Here is a 21,299-nt window from a genome sequence, read left to right on the forward strand (position 1 = left end):
AGTAATCACCTTGGTTTGATTTGCATTGAAGGAAAATTTTAAAATGTAAAGCTAAACTCTTCAGGATCACTGCACTGGGTTTCTATAGGACAACACTGAACAGGGCTGCCACTGAAACACCTTGGAGGAGAGCCTCAAACTCCCTGAACACAGCTTCCAGCACACTACTGGGAGAATGATTGGGACTCAAAAATATGTGCAATGAATGTACTTACGAGCTTGTTGGAAAGGAAGTAAAGAGGTTGTATGTAATTACCTCAAATTAATACTACTACAGATAAAGTAGTAATCAGTACTGACAAAGTAATAGTAGCGCTAAAGTAGTACTAATAGCCCTATACTAGTAGTAGTAATAAAGTGGCATCGCTATTGATTCTATCCGTCTACCTACCTACCTGTCTGGATGGGAGGGCATAGGATTTGACTGTAAGATTGGGCTTAGCAGTGAAGACAAAAGAGCTCATGCATGCTTTGGACAGGTACGCGCTCAAACTTGGTATCATGTGACTGTTCTGAATTCCAGAACCAAGGCTAAAAGGTGGAAGTTTTGTTTGACTGTGTCTCACATTTTCCTTTTGGTCTATTGTCTAACACATGTTGCTAGAATTCTTTTTACTCTGACTACCTTTTATGTATAGACAACGCCATTATTGACGAGATCACTCCCAAGCGGATTGGAGATTGTCCCAATACTTAGACCTGTAGCAAGGCCTTGGGAGAAATGGTGGTGCAGCAGGAGAGCAGGAACCTAACCATTGCCATCCTAAGGCCCTGCATTGTGCGGAGCAACGTGGCACCAGCTTTTCCTGGTAAGCCCACTTACCTGGATTCTGTGTTTTGCTTTCAAACTAAGGTTCTTCTAGCCCAATTATTTTCTGATGTCTTTCTTCTTCTTCTTCTCCTCAGGATTTATAGCTAAGTGCAGCCAATCAAATATTAACCCATTATACTAGGGCAAAATTCCACTTTGGGATCATGCGGCTCTTCTGGCAGTTACCCTATCTTAGAGTTGGATGGAGATCTTAAATTAGCTTCTAACTACTCTAGTCTCAAAATTCCCATGGGTGATGTTTTCATATCTTGGCTTTCCCACTGTAGCTTAAACATATCAGAATGTTCTTGATGGCCAAATTGGTAGTATTGCAACTAACTGCCAGGGTTACAAAGCTCACAGAAGGATCTCAGTTTGGGAGTACTAATTTTTTTTAACCTCAGTATACTGCTATGTCCTTTTGAAAGTACTTTGAATTATACCATCTTCTTCAAAGCAAGTCCGTGAAGCTTTGAGGGCAGATACATTCCAGCTCCACCACTTACTGGCAATGCAACATTTTTGAGTTGTTCTTTCGGTAGAACAGGACAGATACTACTTTGGAGAGTTGGTTTAATGAGACAATGTATGAGGAGTGCTCAATCTCTAGTAAAAGGTAGATCCCTACTAAAAGGCTCAACGAATATTAGTCCCTTCATCTTCTCTTCCCGTATATCTGGTCTCCCATTATACGCATTTCGACTTTTATACTGTAAGGTAAAGAGACGGCTTAGGGCTTAGGAAACAAACTGAAAAATACATTTCCCTCTAACTACTCTTAAGCATAATCTTTCCTGTAACATCTTTAAGCAAGTCAATACACATTATTACCAATCATGTTTTCAATGTTCTCCTAAGGAGGCTAAAATCAGGAATGAGGTGAAGTATGGTTGGTGAATTGCTTAGCAGATCATGATATAAGGACAAGGTCCATTGTAGCCCTTAAGTTGTCATAAAACGCCACAAAACCATTCATGACTCCTGCTACAAACAACAATCCTGGCCAAATTTTAATTCTTGCACAAACTGCAGAAAATAGCCAATGCTTTGCCATTGATCTTTGGGATCTTAATCATACTGAATTAGATAGTTCTATCGGCTGGAGTCTCAGTGCCCTTGTTTGAAATTTATTAAGATTAGACGGCAGATGTTCCAAAGATACAACAATTTTCTGAAATGTGTAACCAATGGAAATTTTCTTTCTTTTAGGGTTGGGTTGATAATCTAAATGGATGTAGCCGACTCATTATTGCGGTATGTATAGGGATGAAGAAGTAACTGTAATGTAGTGGAGGAATAGTAAGAAAATTCTTAGTGCTGGCTTAGCTTCATTGATCCAAAAACATAAATGCTACTTTACTATCAATTGAAGCATATTATTTCAATTATTCTGGTTATAATATGGAGGCAGGATGAAATTGTTTTTATTCTTTTAGAATTTTTTTTATCAGGAAAACAGAGGTAAAGTGCTATCAATTACTATTTAAGAGTTCTATTTTGAAAAGTCTTTAATAAGGATTTTTCTTTTCTTTTTAAAAAAGACTTTCTTAAAAATTAAAAATAAAAGAAGCAAAAGTCTTAGGAAAATGAGGCAAGTAGCCCTGCCACTCTATGTACAGTAATAACAATATCTGTCCCAGTTATTATGTACAATATTATAAAAAATGTCACAGACAGTACAAATTAAGGCACTTATTTCTCAAAGGACATCAAGTCTTATGCCCCGTGGGAGGGAAGATGCCACTTAATTATTGCACCATTTTGAAAAACAGAACTCGTCAAGGCGGATAGTGGTCTTTTCCCACCTGGTCTTCAGTCACAGATGGGGGCTGGGGCGGTGGCGCCGTCTTCGTCATCGAGGTAGACCCTATGGAGCCACACCGCCCTGCCGAGTTCTCTGGGTGCAATAAATACCAGTCACAGTTTGGGAGGGGGCCGTGTGCAGGTGGGGAGGCCTCTGGGCTGCATGTGCCGCTTCCTGTGCAGGGCAAGGTGGGCGGAGCGCAAGAAGGCGTGGTGGCACCAATGGCCCTGAAATGGCCAGTGGCCCCTGTGCTTGTGGTGGTGGAGCGTTAGCTTGTCTGAGTGAGCACGCTTCCAGCTGCTTCCATCCCAGTGGCAGTGGTCGGGCTTGTCACTTGTGTGCTGCGCAGATGTGCCTGCAAGGGAGAATTCTTGCTGTAGGTCTGGCCGTAGCCGCATAGGTATGCCCGGTGTTGCGGTTCCCAGGCCAGGAGCAGCTGTCATGCTTGGGCTTGGCCTCCAGCAGCTCCAGCGGGGACGCCGGTGCCACCACAAGGAGACTGCGGGCGACTGGGGGTGCCAGGCCCAGGGCTGTGGCGGTGGCGGCCAACGCCTAAGAGACTAAAGACAGGGGCGTGGAGGGGCGGAGCTGGGTGGGGGGCGCCTCATGAAGGCCGGGCTGGGTGTCCCAAACCAGGGCCACGGAAAGGCAGCGGGAAGGAGGCGTGCGGGCCGTAGGGGCTGAGGGGCGGGTGTTGGGGGCGGAATGGGAGGGACCCGGGACCTCGCATGCATGAAGCCGCAGGCCCGGGGCGCCCTAGTGTTTGAGGACGCGCGGTCCATGCCTGAACCTGGGTGCGCAGCCGCAGCTGCCGCCATCTGCCTCAGGGGGCTGGGCTTTGACCAGGCGGCTGGGCAGCGCCAGTTGAAAGCGGTTGAGCAGGCCGGGCGCAGTGGCTCACGCCTGTAATCCCAGCACTTTGGGAGGCCAAGGCGGGCCGATCACGGGGTCAGGAGATCGAGACCATCCTGGCTAACACGGTGAAACCCCATCTCTACTAAACATACAAAAAAAAAAAGTAGCCGGGCGTGGTGGCGGGCGCCTGTAGTCTCAGCACTTTGGAAGGCTGAGGCGGGCGGATCACGAGGTCAGGAGATGGAGAACATCCTGGCTAACAGGTGAAACCCCGTCTCTACTAAAAGTACAAAAACCAATTAGCCGGGTGCGGTGGCGGGCGCCTGTAGTCCCAGCTACTCCGGAGGCTGAGGCAGGAGAATGGCGTGAACCCAGGAGATGGAGCTTGCAGTGAGCCGAGATCGCGCCAATGCACTCTAGCCTGGGCGACACAAGGAGACTCCATCTCAAAACAACAACAACAACAACAACAACAACAACAACAAAAACCAGCTGAGCAGCGCGGGCCTTCTGGCAGCGGGTCCAGCTCCAGGGCGCCCTAGGGCAGCGGCGTGCAGTGTTCGGGTAATAGGACGCAGACGGCGGGGTCGCCGGGGGCTTCGGGGTGGCCTCGGCCCCAGGCCATCCAGCCCTGTGGACCGAATGGAGTCCCGCACGCTGTTGAGGTAGTCGTGGGTTCCCCTGGCCTCGGGCTCGGCGCGGGGTCAGCGCTCCTGCAGGTGGCGCTTGCGGTACGGGCTGGTGAAAGTGGAGACGGACGGCAGGATGGATTCACTTGGCGACATGGCGAGGAGCTGGGAAGACGGACACCGGTGAGTGGCTGCCCGGGAGGGCTGGTCGGGGCGCGGACAGGCGGGCATGGTTCTGCCAAGGATTTTGCTTTATTTATCGCAAGATGGGGGTATTTCCTCCTTCCTGCAGTTTATAATTGCATGAATTAGTGCAGTGAATTGAGGATGCAGTAAAAATATCTTCAAAGATTATTAAATTCGTTATTATAAAACACATAGAAGAGTTTATGTGTGTGTATGGAAAGCAGGTATACATCAATAATTCTTAATGAATACAAGAAAGAACTACCAATATTGGGGCAAATTTTTCAAATACAAACATCAGTGAATATAGGCAAGGCCTTTTCTTTTTTATTATTCTATTTTAAGTTCTAGGGTACATGTGCACAACGTGCAGGTTTGTTACATAGGTCGACATGTGCCGGCAACGCCTTTTCAATAATGTCTTACAAGGAGAAACGTGGCTCCTCTAGGTGAGCAGCCCTCAGTGCGCATCTCCCTGAAGTCCACATTGATCCGGCAGAGCTGTGGGGTTCACAGCTCACACTGAGGCATTCAGAGCCTAAACCCCACTTTACTCTTTTGTACAATGAATGGGAAATCAGTGATCTAAATGAGTTTAAATCTTATTAGGGATTCAGACTGCCCTTCAGACTCTGTCTCTATTCCTCCCAGAGCTGGGTTCAACATGAATTCAAATAGAAATATGAGACAATGAATTATGGTAGTGACAAAGACCTTCCTTCGAATTCCGGATTTTTCTAGCAGCCCCTTTCTTTCTGCTTCCCACCTGCCTTCAACTCTTTCTCCTAAAAAAGTTCAGTTGGGGTGAACGTTTGATGACTTAGAACATCATTATTTTAACGTGATCCCAAAGCGGTTTTCATTATATGCAAAGCTGCATATTTATTCACATTTTAAAAAATGTTCTAAATTGGTTTCTTATGTCCAAAAGAAGGGGAGCTAGTTATAAGAAAAGAGAACTGAGTAACATAAGAAAGTGCTAATCATTTCAAATTAAAGTGGGAAACATGCAAAGCAGAAAGAATGAATTTCATAAACTCAACAAATTATTAACATAAATAATTCCAAACTCTTGTATCTATATAACATCAGTGATCTGTGAGGTGAAATGAGATTCTGAAGAAAAACTAAATAATAAGGCCATTTTTCTAAGCCAAAAAAGTTTTTGTCATTAGTTGTGGAATTTCACCAATTAATTTTTTTTCAAATAAAACTTTCTTAAACTTTTAGTGCCTACTATTGCTTGTAGGTTAGTAAGCCCTAGCAGAAAACAAAATCATTAAGGAAATGGAAAACAAACATTAATGGGAAATTTATGTAATCTTAATTCTTAACGTGTCTTATGAGTTAATTTTTAAAATATGAAGGTTTATTCTTGGTGTTTGGTAATTAAGTTTATTAATCTCTCACAAATATGAGGAATTTTATTCCCTAAAGGAACGTGAGGAACACGAGTAGTTCAAGAAAATGCTGAAGATGCGCTTGGCTGGGAAGCTAGGATAGGCTGACGAAGTCAGACTTAGTGTGGGAACCTGGTAAGCAGTGGATCGATGTTAGCTGTTTTCACTTATTGCACTAGTATAATCAGTTTGATGATACATACTTCATTCAGCCCCAGCTGTTACTTAAGACCTGGTTTCACATTTTATGTTCTTTTTCCTGTGCAGGCTGGGAAAGGGTTTCTTCTGTCCATAAAAGCTACTCCAATGGCTGTGGGAGACTTAATTCCAATTCCAGGTGATACAGCCGTCAGTCTCCCACTAGCTGTAGGATGGTGTGCTGCAGTTCACAGGTGTGGATGCTCAAGTGGGCTTTCAAAGATGTCATGAGAGGGAGGGGTTATTGTATTAGGCACATTTTCCAAATATAGGCATTTCATTGTACAAGACCCCAAATGTGAGAGGGTGTTTGTTTCAGTGTTTTATAGAGTTCCTAATATGCCATCATATATACATTCAGTTGTTTTCAAAATACAGTTTAGTATTTGGCTACTCACAAAGTAATAAAACATTTAAATCACTTAACCATACAATTCTTGGTAACCAAAAGGCTTTTCTTTCTATTCAGTAGTTTAACATCCAGCTTTCTTTTTTAGGGCAAAGGAGATAGAAGTGGATGAAATGACAGAGTATTTTTTTAATTGTACTCTGATTAATGCCAAAAGTGTTCAATCACTATGTGTGGGGAAGTTTCCTGGTACAAAGGAAAAAAAAACAGGTTGTTCATACACTTGGCTGTGTTAGTAAGTGGTAAACAGAATTAAACTTTTCTTATGTGAACTCACACATATGTGCTTCATGTCACTCCTATTTAACATCTCTTTCACACACACAGTCATCCCCCCCACACATACCCTTTTGCTAGTCTTCTTCCATTTTGCTTATTAACCCAAAGAAAGAAAAAATATGGAAGCCTTCTTGCATAAGTTGCGTTAATCAGATGAATTATTGAAGCCACTCTGTCTAAATATTATTTTCCCTTATTTTTCCTTCATTAGTTTCCCATTCTGTTGTATTTATTTAATTTTTATTTCATTTTCCAGACCTAAGTCAATGTTAGTCTACCACTGTACGTCTGGTAACCTCAATCCCTGCAACCGGAGCAAAATGTGTAAGTACTTTAGCCATGTAACTGCATAATTACTAGTGTCTGACACAGAGAAAAAATAGACAGTGTGTCATGGAGCTTAGAGCCTACATGGGGAGAAAGACAAAAAGTAAGCAAAGAGGCAAAATAATGAGAAATTGTAAATGTGTGGTAGTTAACTAGAATGTACTGTGGTTACCAAGGAAAGCAGTCATTGGGAACACATACGTGATTGTAAGCAGTAGGGGGTCCATTGGCTATAGAGATTTTAAAAAACAATGATGAAATAAAGCAAAAGTTGACAGTTATAAAAAATCTCAGTGATAAAATACTGAAATACTCCTCCCTGCTGGGGCAGTGGGTCCTATACACACCCCTTCCCTTCTTGATATGTCACTAAGAATGCAACGTGATCAATGACCAATGAGATTTAGAAAAGTCGGGTGATGTTATTCCTTCCTTATTGAGTGTGTAATACTGATCACTAATTTATGCAACTTGTTTCTCTTGGGTGTGCGTTAACTACTCTACTAGTGATTTGTAAAAGTGAATAGGAATCACTATGGGAAAATAAAAACAACACGCAGATTCCTTGGACCCTGGGACCAAGGTCTTGGGTGATGCTGAGGAAACTATATTTTTAATAAGCATCTAAATGATTCTTGATGCTTGGGGAAATGCTCTTTGAGAAACCCTGTACTATACAAATGATTAATTTGTCTGAATGTAAGGGATTTAATCTGGTCAATGTACAAAAACCATGGAAATCAATTTGAGTACAACTTAAACATCTAATGATGGTAGAAGATAAAAGTAGGGAGTTTTGCTATTCTGTAGGATTACTTAGTACCTACTAACTAACGCACCCCTTCTATCCCTGTTACATAGGTACCACTAGCTCTTCATATTCCAATGATAAGTCATGGTACCGCACTGAAAGTTCTATTGCAGGGCAGCTAGACACTGTGGCTGATTTATATATTGTGACTTTGAATTGGAAAATGCTTTCCAGGAATGAAAAATGCCTGGCATGCCTGTTTCCTCTACCTCTCTCACACCTATAGCAAACACTGTGGGCTAATAAGACATTGGTTATCCCTGTGCCAAGGCTCTGTTCTAGATTCCCTTCTAACAGCATTTCTGGAAGCTATTACTATTAATTTGATGTTGCATTCAAATTAAACTCATTGGTGTTTCCTATCTGGGACTCTTAGGAGGGATAAAAATGCTGCCTACTGGGAGCAGTAGCCATGTTAACAGGAGGTTGAGCATATATAGTCTCAGGTGATATTACAAGGAGTGATAGACAGCTGGGTGGGTGAACATGGGCTGTCTCTCCATGGAATTGTCTCCTTTAGTGTCCCTTAAGAAGAGTTTTTGATCTCCTGCATACAGGTCTTAAGCATCTTTTATCAGATTTATACCTAGGGCCTAGGTAATTGATGCTTTTTGTTTGTTTGTTTTTTTACTAATTTAAATGTGTTTTGTAAAAATATATTTTCTAATTGTTTGTGGATGATGTCAAATGCAATTGATTTTTGTATATTGACCATATATTCCCCTATCTTGCTAAACTTATTATTGCTAGAAATTGTATAATATTTCCTCATGATTTCCTATGTAGACAGTTATTTAATCTGCAAAAATACCAGTATTATCCCCATTTTTTCAAGCTTTAGGTCTTTATTTTTCTTGTTGATGGCACCATCTCAGATCACTGCAAGCTCTGCCTCCTGGGTTCACTCCATTCTCCTGCCTCAGCCTCCCGAGTAGCTGGGACTAGAGGCACCCACCACCATGCCTGGCTAATTTTTGTATTTTTAGTAGAGACAGGGTTTCACCGTGTTAGCCAGGATGGTCTCAATCTCCTGATCTCATGATCCACTTGCCTTGGCCTTTCAAAGTGCTGGGATTACAGGCGTGAGCCACTGCGCCCAGCCTTCTTGTTGAACTTCTACTATAATGGTGAATAAAAATGGCAATAGTACGTATTGTTGTCTTGCTGCTAATTTTAAGCAGAAGACTTCAAATATTAAACTCACCTGCCATTTTTAGGATAAACCCAACTTGGTCATACCATGTTATCTTTTTTTATATTTTGTTTAATTCAGTTTGCCAATCATATAGTTCCCTTGTTTTTCTGTTCTCTGAAAGTGCTTGTGTAATAGTGGAGTAATCTATTCCTTGAAAACTTGGGAAAAGCACCTTTAAATTATCTGGATTTATAATTTTTTGTGAGAAGATTTTTTATTGCTTCAGTGTCTTTAATAGTTAAAGAATTTTGCGGGCTTCATTTTCTGCTGGAATCAGTTTTAGTAAATTATATTTGTCTCTTTTTCTAAGATTTTGTCTGTTTTAAAATGTATTTACATTCATTTTTTTCATATTCATATTTTTGTCCTAAACTGTATCTGTAATTATGCTTCTTTTTAAATTCATAATATTTGTGTGTCTTCTCTTTTCTTCTCAGCTAGTCTTCAAAGGTTTTATTTTATTTCTTTTTTTGAAAGAACCAACTTCTTCAGGCTTTATTGACTTTTTTCTTTTTTCTTTCTTTCTTTCTTTTTTTTTTTTTTTGAGATGGAGTCTTGCTCTTGTTGCCCAGGCTGGAGTACAATGGCATGATCTTGGCTTACCACAACCTTTGCCTCCCGAGTTCAAGCAGTTCTCCTGCCTCAGCCTCCTGAGTAGAGTAGCTGGGATTACAGACACGCACCACCACACCTGGCTAATTTTGTATTTTTAGTAGAGATGGGGTTCTCCATGTTGGTCAGGCTGGTCTTGAACTCCCAACCTCAGGTGATCCACCCACCTCGGCCTGCAAAAGTGCTAGGATTACAGGCATGAGCCGCCGCACCCAGCCTATTGACTCTTTATTATGCTGCTTTGTTTTCTATTGCATAGATGTATTGCCTTATGTCTTTTTTCCCCTTCCTTTTGTTTTCTTTGATTATGTTTTTCTTCTCTTTAACTTAGAAATATAGCCCATGAATATTTGGCTTGTCTAATACATCATTTATGGCTTTATACTTCCCTCAATGCCACTTTGGCTGTATCCCACACATTTTGTTGTATGATGTTTATGTTATCATTACTCTCTAATCCTTAAACATTTTTCATTTGAATTTCTTCTTTGACCTTTGAGGATGTAGAGTGCAGTTTTCAATTGCCAAATTACATTTTCTACATGTGCATGAGTTTCTCCTTGTCCCTCACATCAGAAAGACAGTAGCTTAATGGTTAAAAGTCTTGGGCTTTGAGATCTAATAGACTTGGATTCAAATCATAGCTCATTCACTCACTCCTGTATTTATTAAATAGACATTATTCTTGGTGCTGAGGATATATCACTAAACAGAAATCCGTGCTCACATAGATGTTATTTGCGGTATGCATCCTGCAATTTAGTAGACTCCACTACTTATTAGTTGTATCAGTTGGAAAAAGTCTCTCAGTTTCTCCCTGTAGATGAATTTTTTTATCTGTCAGTGAGAATAATAATTATTCTATTCTAGGGAGCTCTTGGGAGAACGTAGTGAGATAAAGTGCTTAGTACAGTGGTTAGAACAGTGAACATTTTAGTAAATGCTTGCTATTACCATATGGACAGCTTTCTCAGAAAGCCTTTCCTAACCCAGCCCCACCCCTCCCCTTCCTGGCACCCAGACAGAGCTAGATGCTTCTTTTGTGTTCCTCCAGAGCGTATTGTACCGGCCTCTAGCAGAATACTCAGGCAAAAGATTGTAATCATGAATTGTCCACATCTCCCACCAGATTGCCAGTTCTTTAAAGACAAAGAATATATCATATGTAATTTTTTTTTACCTCAGCATCTACCACAGTGCCTGGCAAGTGTTAAATGCTGAATAAATATATTTGAAATGACTAAAGGAAGGATTGATACAGATTTAGGAAAAGGAAAGTAAGTGTATTTTGCTGAGATATTTATTCATTCGTTTAGTCAAAAAATGTTTATTAGGCACTGATTACCTGTCAGCCACTTTTCAAGGTACTGTATAGGTTCAAACAAAACAGGCAAAATTTTGTTATGGTACTTAAATCTTAGAAAGGAGAAATATACATCAGATATGGTTGAGTGATTGCAGAAAAATAAAACAGATTAAAGAAGTAAACAGTATTGTGGGAAGGCTGCTATTTGATAAGTGATGGCCAAAGAAAGTCTCTCTGATAAGGTGTCATCTTAGTAGAGACCTGAAAGAAGTGAGAGGGCAAATCAGAGGGACACGTGGATGAAATATTCCAAGTTGAAGAAACAGTAAGTGCTGAAGTTCTTTAATAATATTCAAGGACAGCAAGGAGGCCAATATGGCTGCAGCAGAAGCACTGAGAGGGAGAGCGGTAAGAGGTGAAGTCAGAGTGGTGGGCAGAGAGAGTGAGGATGCAGAGAGTGCAAGCCCTTGCAGACCATGGCTTTGCCTCTAAATGAGAAGAGATTCCGTTGAAGGGCTCTGAAAGGGGAAGTTCCTGTAATACACTCTGAGTTACATTTTACAAGAATCCCTCTGGCTGCTACATGGAGGTCCAACTAGGGTTACAGGGGTAGTGGCAGAGACCACTTAGGACAGTATTGCAACATTCCAGGCTACAGTAGTGGTTTGGATCAGAGAGATAGCAGGTGGAAATTATGATTCTGGGTATTTTTCAAACAGAGAGCTGATAGATTTTGTTCAATTGTGTGTGGGTTGTTAAAGAGAGAGAAGAATCAAGGATAACCCCAAAGTTTTTGGCTGAACTACTAAACAAATTGAATTAGCATTTGGTTAGAGGTAGAAGACTGGTGAAATAGCAAGTTTGTGTATGTATTGGGAGGGGGGTGGTTAGCAGTGGGTGTATCAGGAGGCCCATTTTAGAGCTGTTAAATGTGAATGTCTCTTACACCTCCAGGTGGAAATGTTGAACAAGTATATGGATATATAGATCAGAACATCAGTGTTGAGATCAGAATCTCTTATGCTATCAACCTGTACATAACTTTTTTATTTACCACCATCTTTTTAAAGTATAAATCCCTATGGAACAGATGATTCTTAAGAATCTTCTCTGAAGAGGAGTTATATTTTTCAGATAGATTTTTAGCTGGCATTTTTTTAAGTAGGGCAATAATCGTATTACTATAATAACTGACATCATAATTGAATAATGAGCTTAGGCATATGCTTTGCAAAAACCTACATACCTTAAATAAAATTGAATTCAAATGAGTATCTTTTCAAAAGAACTACTGAATTCACAAATGTACATAAAAAGTTCTTAATTAAGCTTAATCTAAGTATTAATATAAAAAGAAAAACACTATTATGAATAAAACCCTGGATACCAGAGTGGACAACTGAGTCTGACATATTCCCAGAGAAATATTTAAAGTAAGCTAACACAAGAAAATCTTGCCTTTAGAATTTTTAAGTTAAACTTTTAATAAAGATTCAAATAAAACATTAAGAAACTTTCTAAATGGTTCTGAAAGTAATGGTCCAGCCAGGGAAATAAAGTTTCTAGCCTGTGTCTTGGGGCTTTCAGAATAGACTAGATAACCTTAGAATTAAATGTGGATTTATGTTTTTCTGAAGAGTACCCCCTTTTGTTGACTACATGTGTTTCCCCAAGAATTTGTTGTAGAGTAGATGTTTCAAATAAAGGGTCCAATTCTTAACCCATTCACATTGTTTCATTTTGCAGATAACCACTTGCCTAGCATAAAAATCTTTACGTTGTTCTCAGAAATTGATTCTTGACTCTACACAGCAAATCCTTCATCTTTATTGTTGTGACCCATTATAAATACCTTCCAGTGTGATGGGCTTATATTCTCCTATTCTCCTCTATCACTTACTCTCTTTTTTTCCCCAGGATTCCAGGTCTTGGCAACCTTTGAAATTCCAATTCCATTTGCAAGAGCTTTGAGGAGGCCATATGCTGATTTCACCACAAGCAACTTCACAACCCAGTACTGGAATGCCATCAGCCAGCAGGCCCCTGCCATTATCTGTGACTTCTATCTGTGGCTCATTGGAAGGAAACCCAGGTGAGAAGCTGAGTCAATGGCTTTGAGAATGTCACTGCATATGGGAGATTGAGGCCCCAAAGTCTTTAGGGCTTCCTTCAGCCAAAGATTAAAGGAGACAACTGAATCTGACCCATATATACAGATTGAACACACCTACTCTGAAAATCCAAAATCTGAAATTCTCCAAAATCCAAAAAGTTTTGAGTGCTGACATGATGCCACAAGTGGAAAATTCCACACATCTTACCTCATGTGATGGGTCACAGTCAAAACACATTCAAAACTTTGTTTCATGCATAAAATTATTTAAAATATTGTATAAGATTACCTTCAGGTTATGTGTATGTGGCTAAGTGTGTATGAAATGTAAGTGAATTTTGTGTTTAGATATGGGTCCCATTCCCAAGATACCTCATTGCATTGAAGCAAATATTCCAAAATCTGAAAACAGTTGAAACCCAACACACTTCTGACCCAAGCATTTCAGATAAAGGATACTCAATCTGTGTAAGTTTTGAACAAACAAAGCAGTCATAGTGAGAAGCCACAGAAGCCTCCTACATTAAAAATACTCCAGCATAATAAAGGAAGGTAAATGTTAAAGCGCCTGCTTGATGAATTCAGCAAGTGATCATTCACACAAAAAGAAAACCAACTGAGACGCTGTCACTAGGGTTTTTCAAATAGGTAGAGAATCTTAAATATCCAGTAATGATGACAACCTCACTTACTGGGAGCTTACTCGTGGGGCTAAGGAGGATGCGTGATGATCCCATTTTTATTGTCACAGCTACCGAAGGAAGATACCCTCATCAACCCAATTTTACAAATGGAGAAATAGAAGCTCAGGGAAGAATCTGAAGTAGTCTCAAAGGAAGTGACAGGAAGGATGTGGAGAAAGCTGAGTGTCAAAGTCAGTATTCAGGACCGGCTTTACTGCTACTTAGAGATGAATGAAGAAATCAGAGGGAACGCAGTGTGCTGATGCTAAAGCGGCTGTCACCACCCAGCTGTGTGACATAGGACATCTTCTTTCTCTGTCTCACTTGAATAATATGATGTGTCAGAGGAGACATGATTGTAATTGCCTAAAGCAATTCTTGTGATCAAGAATCAGAAGCATGAACAGTATTGCCCTCTGTGTTAGCCCCTTTATAAGGGAGGAAGTCATCTTCAGCATGCTGAATTGTCATCTTTCTTAGCAGTGCAAATGACTAAAACTTAGCCAATGTAGAGTTTGTCCAAATTTGGAGCTCATAACTCAGTTCTTGAGCAAAGTGAAAAGAAAACATTGTGATTATGGGGAAAATATTTGTACGGGACTTATCAAATAAAGATAGGAAAAGAAGAAAACTCAAATATTATAGGCAGAAATGCTAAAGGTTTTAAAATATGTCAGGATTGGAAGAAGGCATGGATAAAGAACAAAGTTCAGTTAGGAAAGAGAAACACAGAAGGAAGAGACACAATAAAAGTCATTATGTATTCTGTGAGAAGTCAGACAGTAAGATTTGTGGGAAATGGGTTGGTTTGTTGTATGGTATGTATTTTAGCAATAATCTTTATGGCAGAGAAAGCTAAAATCCTTTAGCTTGCGTGAATGATCACTTGCTGAATTCCTCAAGGTAGGCATGATGAAGGAGGGTTTAGAGGAGACACAGACACAATGAACTGACCTAGATAGAAAGCCTTAGTATACTCAGCTAGGAATAGTGATTCTGAGGGCACACTGTGACATGATTATGTCATTACATGTATGGTAGTGATGGGGATGATAGAAGGAAGAACTTATGGCATATTTTCACCCCCACAAAAGTCAGTTAAATATTGGGACACTAACCATCCAGGTCAAGAAAAGTCACATGCCATAGCCATGGTATTGCACATCATTCATCTTGCATTCTTTGAGAATAAGAAGATCAGTAAATAGTTCAGAAGTGGGAAGCTTTGTCCAGGCCTGTGTGTGAACCCAATGTTTTGTTTAGAAATAGAACAAGTAAGTTCATTGCTATAGCATAACACAAAATTTGCATAAGTGGTGGTCAGCAAATCCTTGAATGCTGCTTAATGTGAGAGGTTGGTAAAATCCTTTGTGCAACACTCTAACTCCCTGAATGTTTTGCTGTGCTGGGACCTGTGCATGCCAGACAAGGCCAAGCTGGCTGAAAGAGCAACCAGCCACCTCTGCAACCTGCCACCTCCTGCTGGCAGGATTTGTTTTTGCATCCTGTGAAGAGCCAAGGAGGCACCAGGGCATAAGTCTACTCACTTATATCTGTTTGTCTGGAACATAACCCATGTTTGTTTTTACAACAAATAAAATTGATCTTGAATAAAAAGTGAGTGGTCGTTGTCATTAATCTTTGAACCCAGATTAACCTTTTGGTCATGCCTAGTCTAAGAGAAAAGACATATTCTTATCAATAAATACAGAGCCCAGCTATGTCAGTGAAGATCTCAAGTGCATGGACAGTAGTATAGGGAAGAGTCAGAGGCCAAAAAGACAGGAATGGCAGACATTGAACAGAGGAGAGTGTGGTGTTTGCCTCTGCATCAACTGAGATTATGGAAGAACACCTGAGGCTTGGGGAGAGCACCTACAAGATACCAATAAAGCATTCTAAGAACATCTATGAAGTGAGAAAATTTGAATTACTGTTGTTCTTGTGGTTATGATTGTATTTATGGTTGTTACTTCATTCGTATTAATCACCTATGTGCCCAAGTGTAATCATGAAGTTAGATTTTTCCCAGTTTTTTTTATTAGACTCAAGAATTCCCATAGACAAAGGCAATATCACTATCCTATTCATACATTTCTTGTCTCAGTTCTGCAGAGCCAAAATGTAGAGTCCAATGCAATAAAGGCTGACTTGGATTATCTAACTGGTACATGAGGCCCCGTGTGGTAGTTTACTCCAGAGGAAATTGGCACTTGCATATAATTGTAGTTAAGTTGATCCCTTGATATCAGAAAAGTTTCTGCTATGCAGTCCTTTTTGATGATTTCTTAATATATATCCTCATTTTAGATAGTAGCAGTGGCCATAGATGTACTTGGCAGCAGAGTATTACAGATGGTAAAGCTTGAATCTGCGTTTTAGTAGCAAGAGCATTTGGAGTCTTGTGCTTCCCTTGTAGACATCTTCTTCACATCTACAGCCTATCTTTCGTCTACTGTTGTTACTGCTACTAGTTCCATAGACATTCTAATTTTCACTTGGGATATAATTTTTGTTATTTGTAAGCTCCCCCTTCTTTTTCATTTTTTCACTCCATTTCAGACTGTTCTAAAATCAGAAAGGAAATTCTCCTCCATGAGCATGTATATGTTTTTGGCTCTTGGAACTTGAGATGGTGCAAGTAAAGTACAAGGACATTTTCCAGATAAGTCATGTGAAGTGATTTACATTTCATAATATGATCATTTCTGATTGATCTTATCTATTAAGACCACCCATAGAGATGGCTGTAAAGAATTAAGAACATCAAACAATGTCAAGTTGTTCATTGCATGTATTTCAGAACATTGCCAAGATAAAGCCAGGTGGAGTCATTAATTTCACCAGCTGGTTATTTCCTTGCTGCAGTACCAAAGATTGTTATTTTAGAATTAAAACCTCTGGTTTTTCTAACTCATCTTTCATTGTTGATCATGGCAAGTGAATAATTAGTGAATGTATATGTTTGGGTTATGAGGAATTTAAAACACACCCTAAGAGTTGTAATGTTGATTGCTTTTAAATGTTGTAATGGTTTTGAGAGTGTCTGCTAATGATTCCTTAATTACATACTTGCTTTTCTTAGAAAATCAACTCATTTCATTATTAGTGATTAATTTTCTCTTAAATATTTAACTTTATATTTTAATAATCACTATGCCTGGGATTCCATTAGATATTTGAAAAGACCAAGTTTAATTTTTTTACCCAGGTAACATATACAATGGCTGAAGATTTGTGTTCTTTGATCTCACAATTTAAAAAAATACACATTAAGCACCATGGAAATCCCAGCAACTTCAGCAAGAAAGAGTCTTTGTTCCACAGTTTCTTTGCTTGATAAATACGTGGAATAAAATAAATGGAATATCTTAATTCAGTTTTTGCTTCATGAGACTGGTTGAGTGAACATAGGCCTAGTGCTTTGAAAATAGGCCTATTGTAGAAGATTGATATTCTAGTAGCCTAAAGAGAATCCATTTCTTATAAGAATATATATATTTTGGAAAATGTGGTATTTCTCAGAAAACTACTGAAATGAATTATGTATCTTTTCTATCTTTATCTTTACTTCTATTACTTTCAAAGATCTAAAGGTTTCACTTGAAAATTAGTCTTTTGGAAAAAAAAGACATTGAAACTAGTGTTAAATTAATTTCATTGAGGTAATGAATATGAAGATTCATTTGCTGTAATCTCCTTGTGATCTTTTAGTTTCTTGTGCTTTTAAAAATAACAATATAATGGTCTATATGTTTATCAGTTTTTACAATAATTTGTCTAAACTTCGCTTATACCAGTGTGCATGAAGAACCAAGTGCAGTCTGAATTAGCACAATGCAAACAGAAAACCGACCTTTTATTTTCCTCACAAAATTAATATAAACCTTATGTAAAAGAATTTTTAGGTGCTTGTAAATTAATAACAAAATCATACATAATGTCAGTGGAGGAGAAAAGTTAAGGATTTTATATTGCAGTAAAATGCATTTCTAAATTTACTTAGTATTGTTATAAAACATATTCTTGAATATTGTATCAGAGTTTATCACCACTACTGAAGTCAAAATAAAGATGGATCTCTAAAGTATGCAATTTATTTGGGAATCACAGAATTGTAGTTCTGAACAAAACTGAAAACCACGGTGGTCTTCTATATGTGTGAAGGACAAAGAGAAGATTGGGGGTTTACTAGCGAGGGAAATGCTACATATTGTTTTGAAAGAAAGCTCACAGACACTAGAGAAGAATTTGGGAGCTGGTCAAACAAGCCTAATGGGAGACAAATCTTTTGAGACTTCCCAGGATCCCAACTAGAAAATCCCTTAGTCAATTTTAGGTGAAAAAGAGTTAAATTTGAATTTGATTCTGGGGAAGTTTGTCATTTGTTTGGATTCAAAAAGCCTAAAAATATTTAATTAAAGTAGAATTACATATCCTTGAGAGATAATGGTCACTTATTTAACCAGAGTAATAATGGAAAGACTTCAAAAACAAATTCAAAAGTTACATAGTCAAGAGAAAAAAAATAGTTAGACCTGTATTAGAGATGACTTAGTTTTTTCAGGTGGTCAAAACCCGAATAAAGACAGCCCAAACCACAGGAAGCTATCTTGAAACATAAAATACCTGCTTATTAGGTGGATTACTTAGAGAGAGAGAAAAAAAACCTTTTGTAGTATGACCATTTCTCTTGGTATATGCCCTTTTGAGTAAGCTGGAAATTAAACCCCATGAAAAACTACTTTAATTCAATTAGACACTGGAAGAGTGTGTGTCTAAGGTTATAAGTAAACCATATTATAGGATAATAATACACACACACACACACACACACACACACACACACACAAGTAGTACCTCCACCAGGTGGAATGGATGGCTTTTAGAAAAAGTAAGAGCATGTGAAATTTCCTGGTTACATAGAACAATTTGGATACATCAGGAAAAGCCGAGTACAGAATTCGTCTATACTGGAAAAACATTGTTTTTCCAGTTTTTTTGAGGCAAACATTCTCAGTGTCAGGTTATAATACCAGAGTGCGAAGTGGGGAAAAATGCAATAGGAACTGACAAAAAAAAAGAAAAAAAAAGAAAATGAGAGAGAGAGTCACCACTCACCACACAAAAAGATGTAATGTTTTAAGGAGAGAAGTAAGAGCAGAAGGCATGGATGTATTAACTGCAAATTACATGTAGTGAGATGCATAAAAAGCCAAACCCTTGAGATAAAAATCTGAAAAACTTTAAGAGGAAAACTCCACCTCCTGAAATGAAGCGATCATTTATTTTTCTTTATTGCTGCTTCTAAAAAGAAGATACATGTACAGAATGTGCAGGTTTGTTGTATAGGTATACGTGTGCCATGGTGGTTTGCTGCACCTATTGACCCGTCCTCTAAGTTCCCTCCCCTCACCCCCATATCCCCCAGCAGACCATGGTGTATGTTGTTCCCCTCTCTGTGTCCATGTGTTCTCAATGTTCAACTCCCACTGAATGAGTACATGCAGTGTCTGGTTTTCTGTTCTTGTGTTTGTTTGCCAAGGATGATGGCTTCCAGTTTCACCCATGTCCCTGCAAAGGACGTGCTCTCATTCATTTTTCATGGCTGCATAGTATTCCATGGTGTATATGTAACACATTTTCTTTATCCAGTCTATTGTTGATGGGCATTTGGGTTGGTTCCAGTCTTTGCTATTGTAAATTGTGCTGCAATAAGTAGAATGATTTATATTCCTTTGGGTATATACCCAGTAATGGGATTGCAGGGTCAAATGGTATTTCTGGTTTTAGATACATGGGGAATCACCATGCTGTCTTCCACAATGATTAAACTAATGTATATCCTCACCAACAGTGTAAAAGCATTCCTATTTCTCCACAGCCTCACCAGCATCTATTGTATCCTGACTCTTTTAAATAATCACCATTCTGACTGGCATGAGATGGTCTCTCATTGTGGTTTTGATTTGCATTTCTCTGATGATCAGTGATGTTGAGCTTTCTTTCATATGTTTGTTGGCCAACTTCCTTTGAGAAGTGTCTGTTCATATCCTTTGCCCACTTTTTAATGATATTGCTCATATTAATTTTGAAATGACTGAAAATTCAAAATAAAGACAATAAAGATAAAATTATATTTTTTAAGTTACAGGTATGAAGTATTTTTGAAAGGAAAGAAACCTCCAGATTATATATATATACATATGTGTATATATTTATATGCATATGTGTGTATATATGTATTTGTATATATAATATATAGATATTGTTTTCAACAAAAAAATTATTAGAGCCGAAGTAGTACCATCTTGAGATGTTTTTATTCAGCTTGGTATCTAAAATCATTTAGGTGACTCATTCCCATGTTTGGAAAATTTTTAAAATTTGTTGTCTACATCTGTGATATTCAGTATAGTAGCCACTAGCTACTTTTAATCAGTTATAATTAAATGAAATTTAAAATTCAGTTCTTCCGTCATACTAGCTACATTTCAAATGCTCAATAGACGCACTTGGCTAGCGGCTTCTTTATTGGACAGGGCAGGTATCACAGAATATTTAACCAGACAGCATTGATCTAAATGGTTGGTTTTTTTGTTTGTTTGTTTGTTTTTTAAACTGGAGTGCAGTGGTGCAATCTCAGCTCACTGCAACCTCTGTCTCCCAGGTTCAAACAATTTTCTGCCTCAGCCTCCCAAGTAGCTGGGATTATAGGCGCCTACGAGCACACCCGGCTAATTTTTTTATTTTTAGTAGAGACGGGGTTTCACCATCTTGGCGGGGCTGGTCTTGAACTCCTGACCTCATGATCCACCAGCCTTGGCCTCCCAAAGTGCTGGGATTAGGCATGAGCCACTGCACCAGGCCAAGTATCTTGTAGAGAGAGTTTATATTATGATTCAGATTTCCATGTTGCCCATCTTTTTAATTAATCTTACAGACACTTAATGGAGCCCTTATTATGTCTTAAGTGCATGAGAAGTGCAAAGAGTGTAAAGACAAAAATCATGTAGCCAAATCAAGTGGTGGAGACAGACATTTAAAACATAATTGCAACCCAACATGAATTCTCCAGGGAGAGGAGAGCAAAGGACAATGAAGGCAGAAAGAATCACGCTTGCAAATCCATGAAAGCTGTGGTGTGTTTGGGAAACTCTGGGTAATTTATTTAGCCCTAGACTAGTAAAAATAAGGACTAGAAAGGTATGCTGAGGCCAGATCTTGAAAGATTTCAAATAACTGCAGTCAGGTTACATTCCAATGAATGAAAAGCCAGTTGAAACTGGTTTAAAACACAAAGGTGGTGTATTGATGTACAATGGAAAAAATCCAGCACTAGAGTGGTGAGCAGCTGTGATTCAACTAGAACTCTGGCTGCCTTGGTCTTTGAGTCTCTCAACTCTGCCACTTTGTTCTGGTTTTATCCTCATGATGAATAAGATGTTTGCTGTAGCTTCAAGCTTTGCACACATAATATGGCAATCTTTGGATGAAGAGAGGCTGGCCCTCTTCAAGATTTTCTCCCAAGATTGATGAAACTTGTTTTCTAAAAACCCTCAGCAAATTTCCCTCCCATCGCATCAGCTTAGTTAAGGTTACCTGTCCATTTCTGGCCAGCCCCTGTGGCCTGAGATTATGCCATGTACTAATTTGTTGAGAAACCTCAGACGTAAGCCAA

General features: G+C 39.1%; 2 pseudogenes, besides 1 other annotated feature; one reads left to right on the forward strand and one right to left on the reverse strand.

The window, feature by feature from the left end:
- FAR2P3 (fatty acyl-CoA reductase 2 pseudogene 3) lies at positions 636-12,938 on the forward strand (annotated as a pseudogene).
- On the reverse strand, positions 2,533-4,337 carry KLF2P3 (Kruppel like factor 2 pseudogene 3; annotated as a pseudogene).
- Positions 3,944-4,444: an enhancer, noted in NCBI's record as "H3K4me1 hESC enhancer chr2:131451031-131451531 (GRCh37/hg19 assembly coordinates)". NCBI's record gives its function as "activates a minimal SCP1, AML or CMV promoter by ChIP-STARR-seq in naive H9 embryonic stem cells {active_cell/tissue: H9 hESC(naive)}" and the evidence as "EXISTENCE:reporter gene assay evidence [ECO:0000049][PMID:30033119]".

The sequence above is a fragment of the Homo sapiens genome, chromosome 2 (assembly GCF_000001405.40).
Source record: "Homo sapiens chromosome 2, GRCh38.p14 Primary Assembly".
NCBI classification, from domain to species: Eukaryota; Metazoa; Chordata; class Mammalia; order Primates; family Hominidae; genus Homo; species Homo sapiens.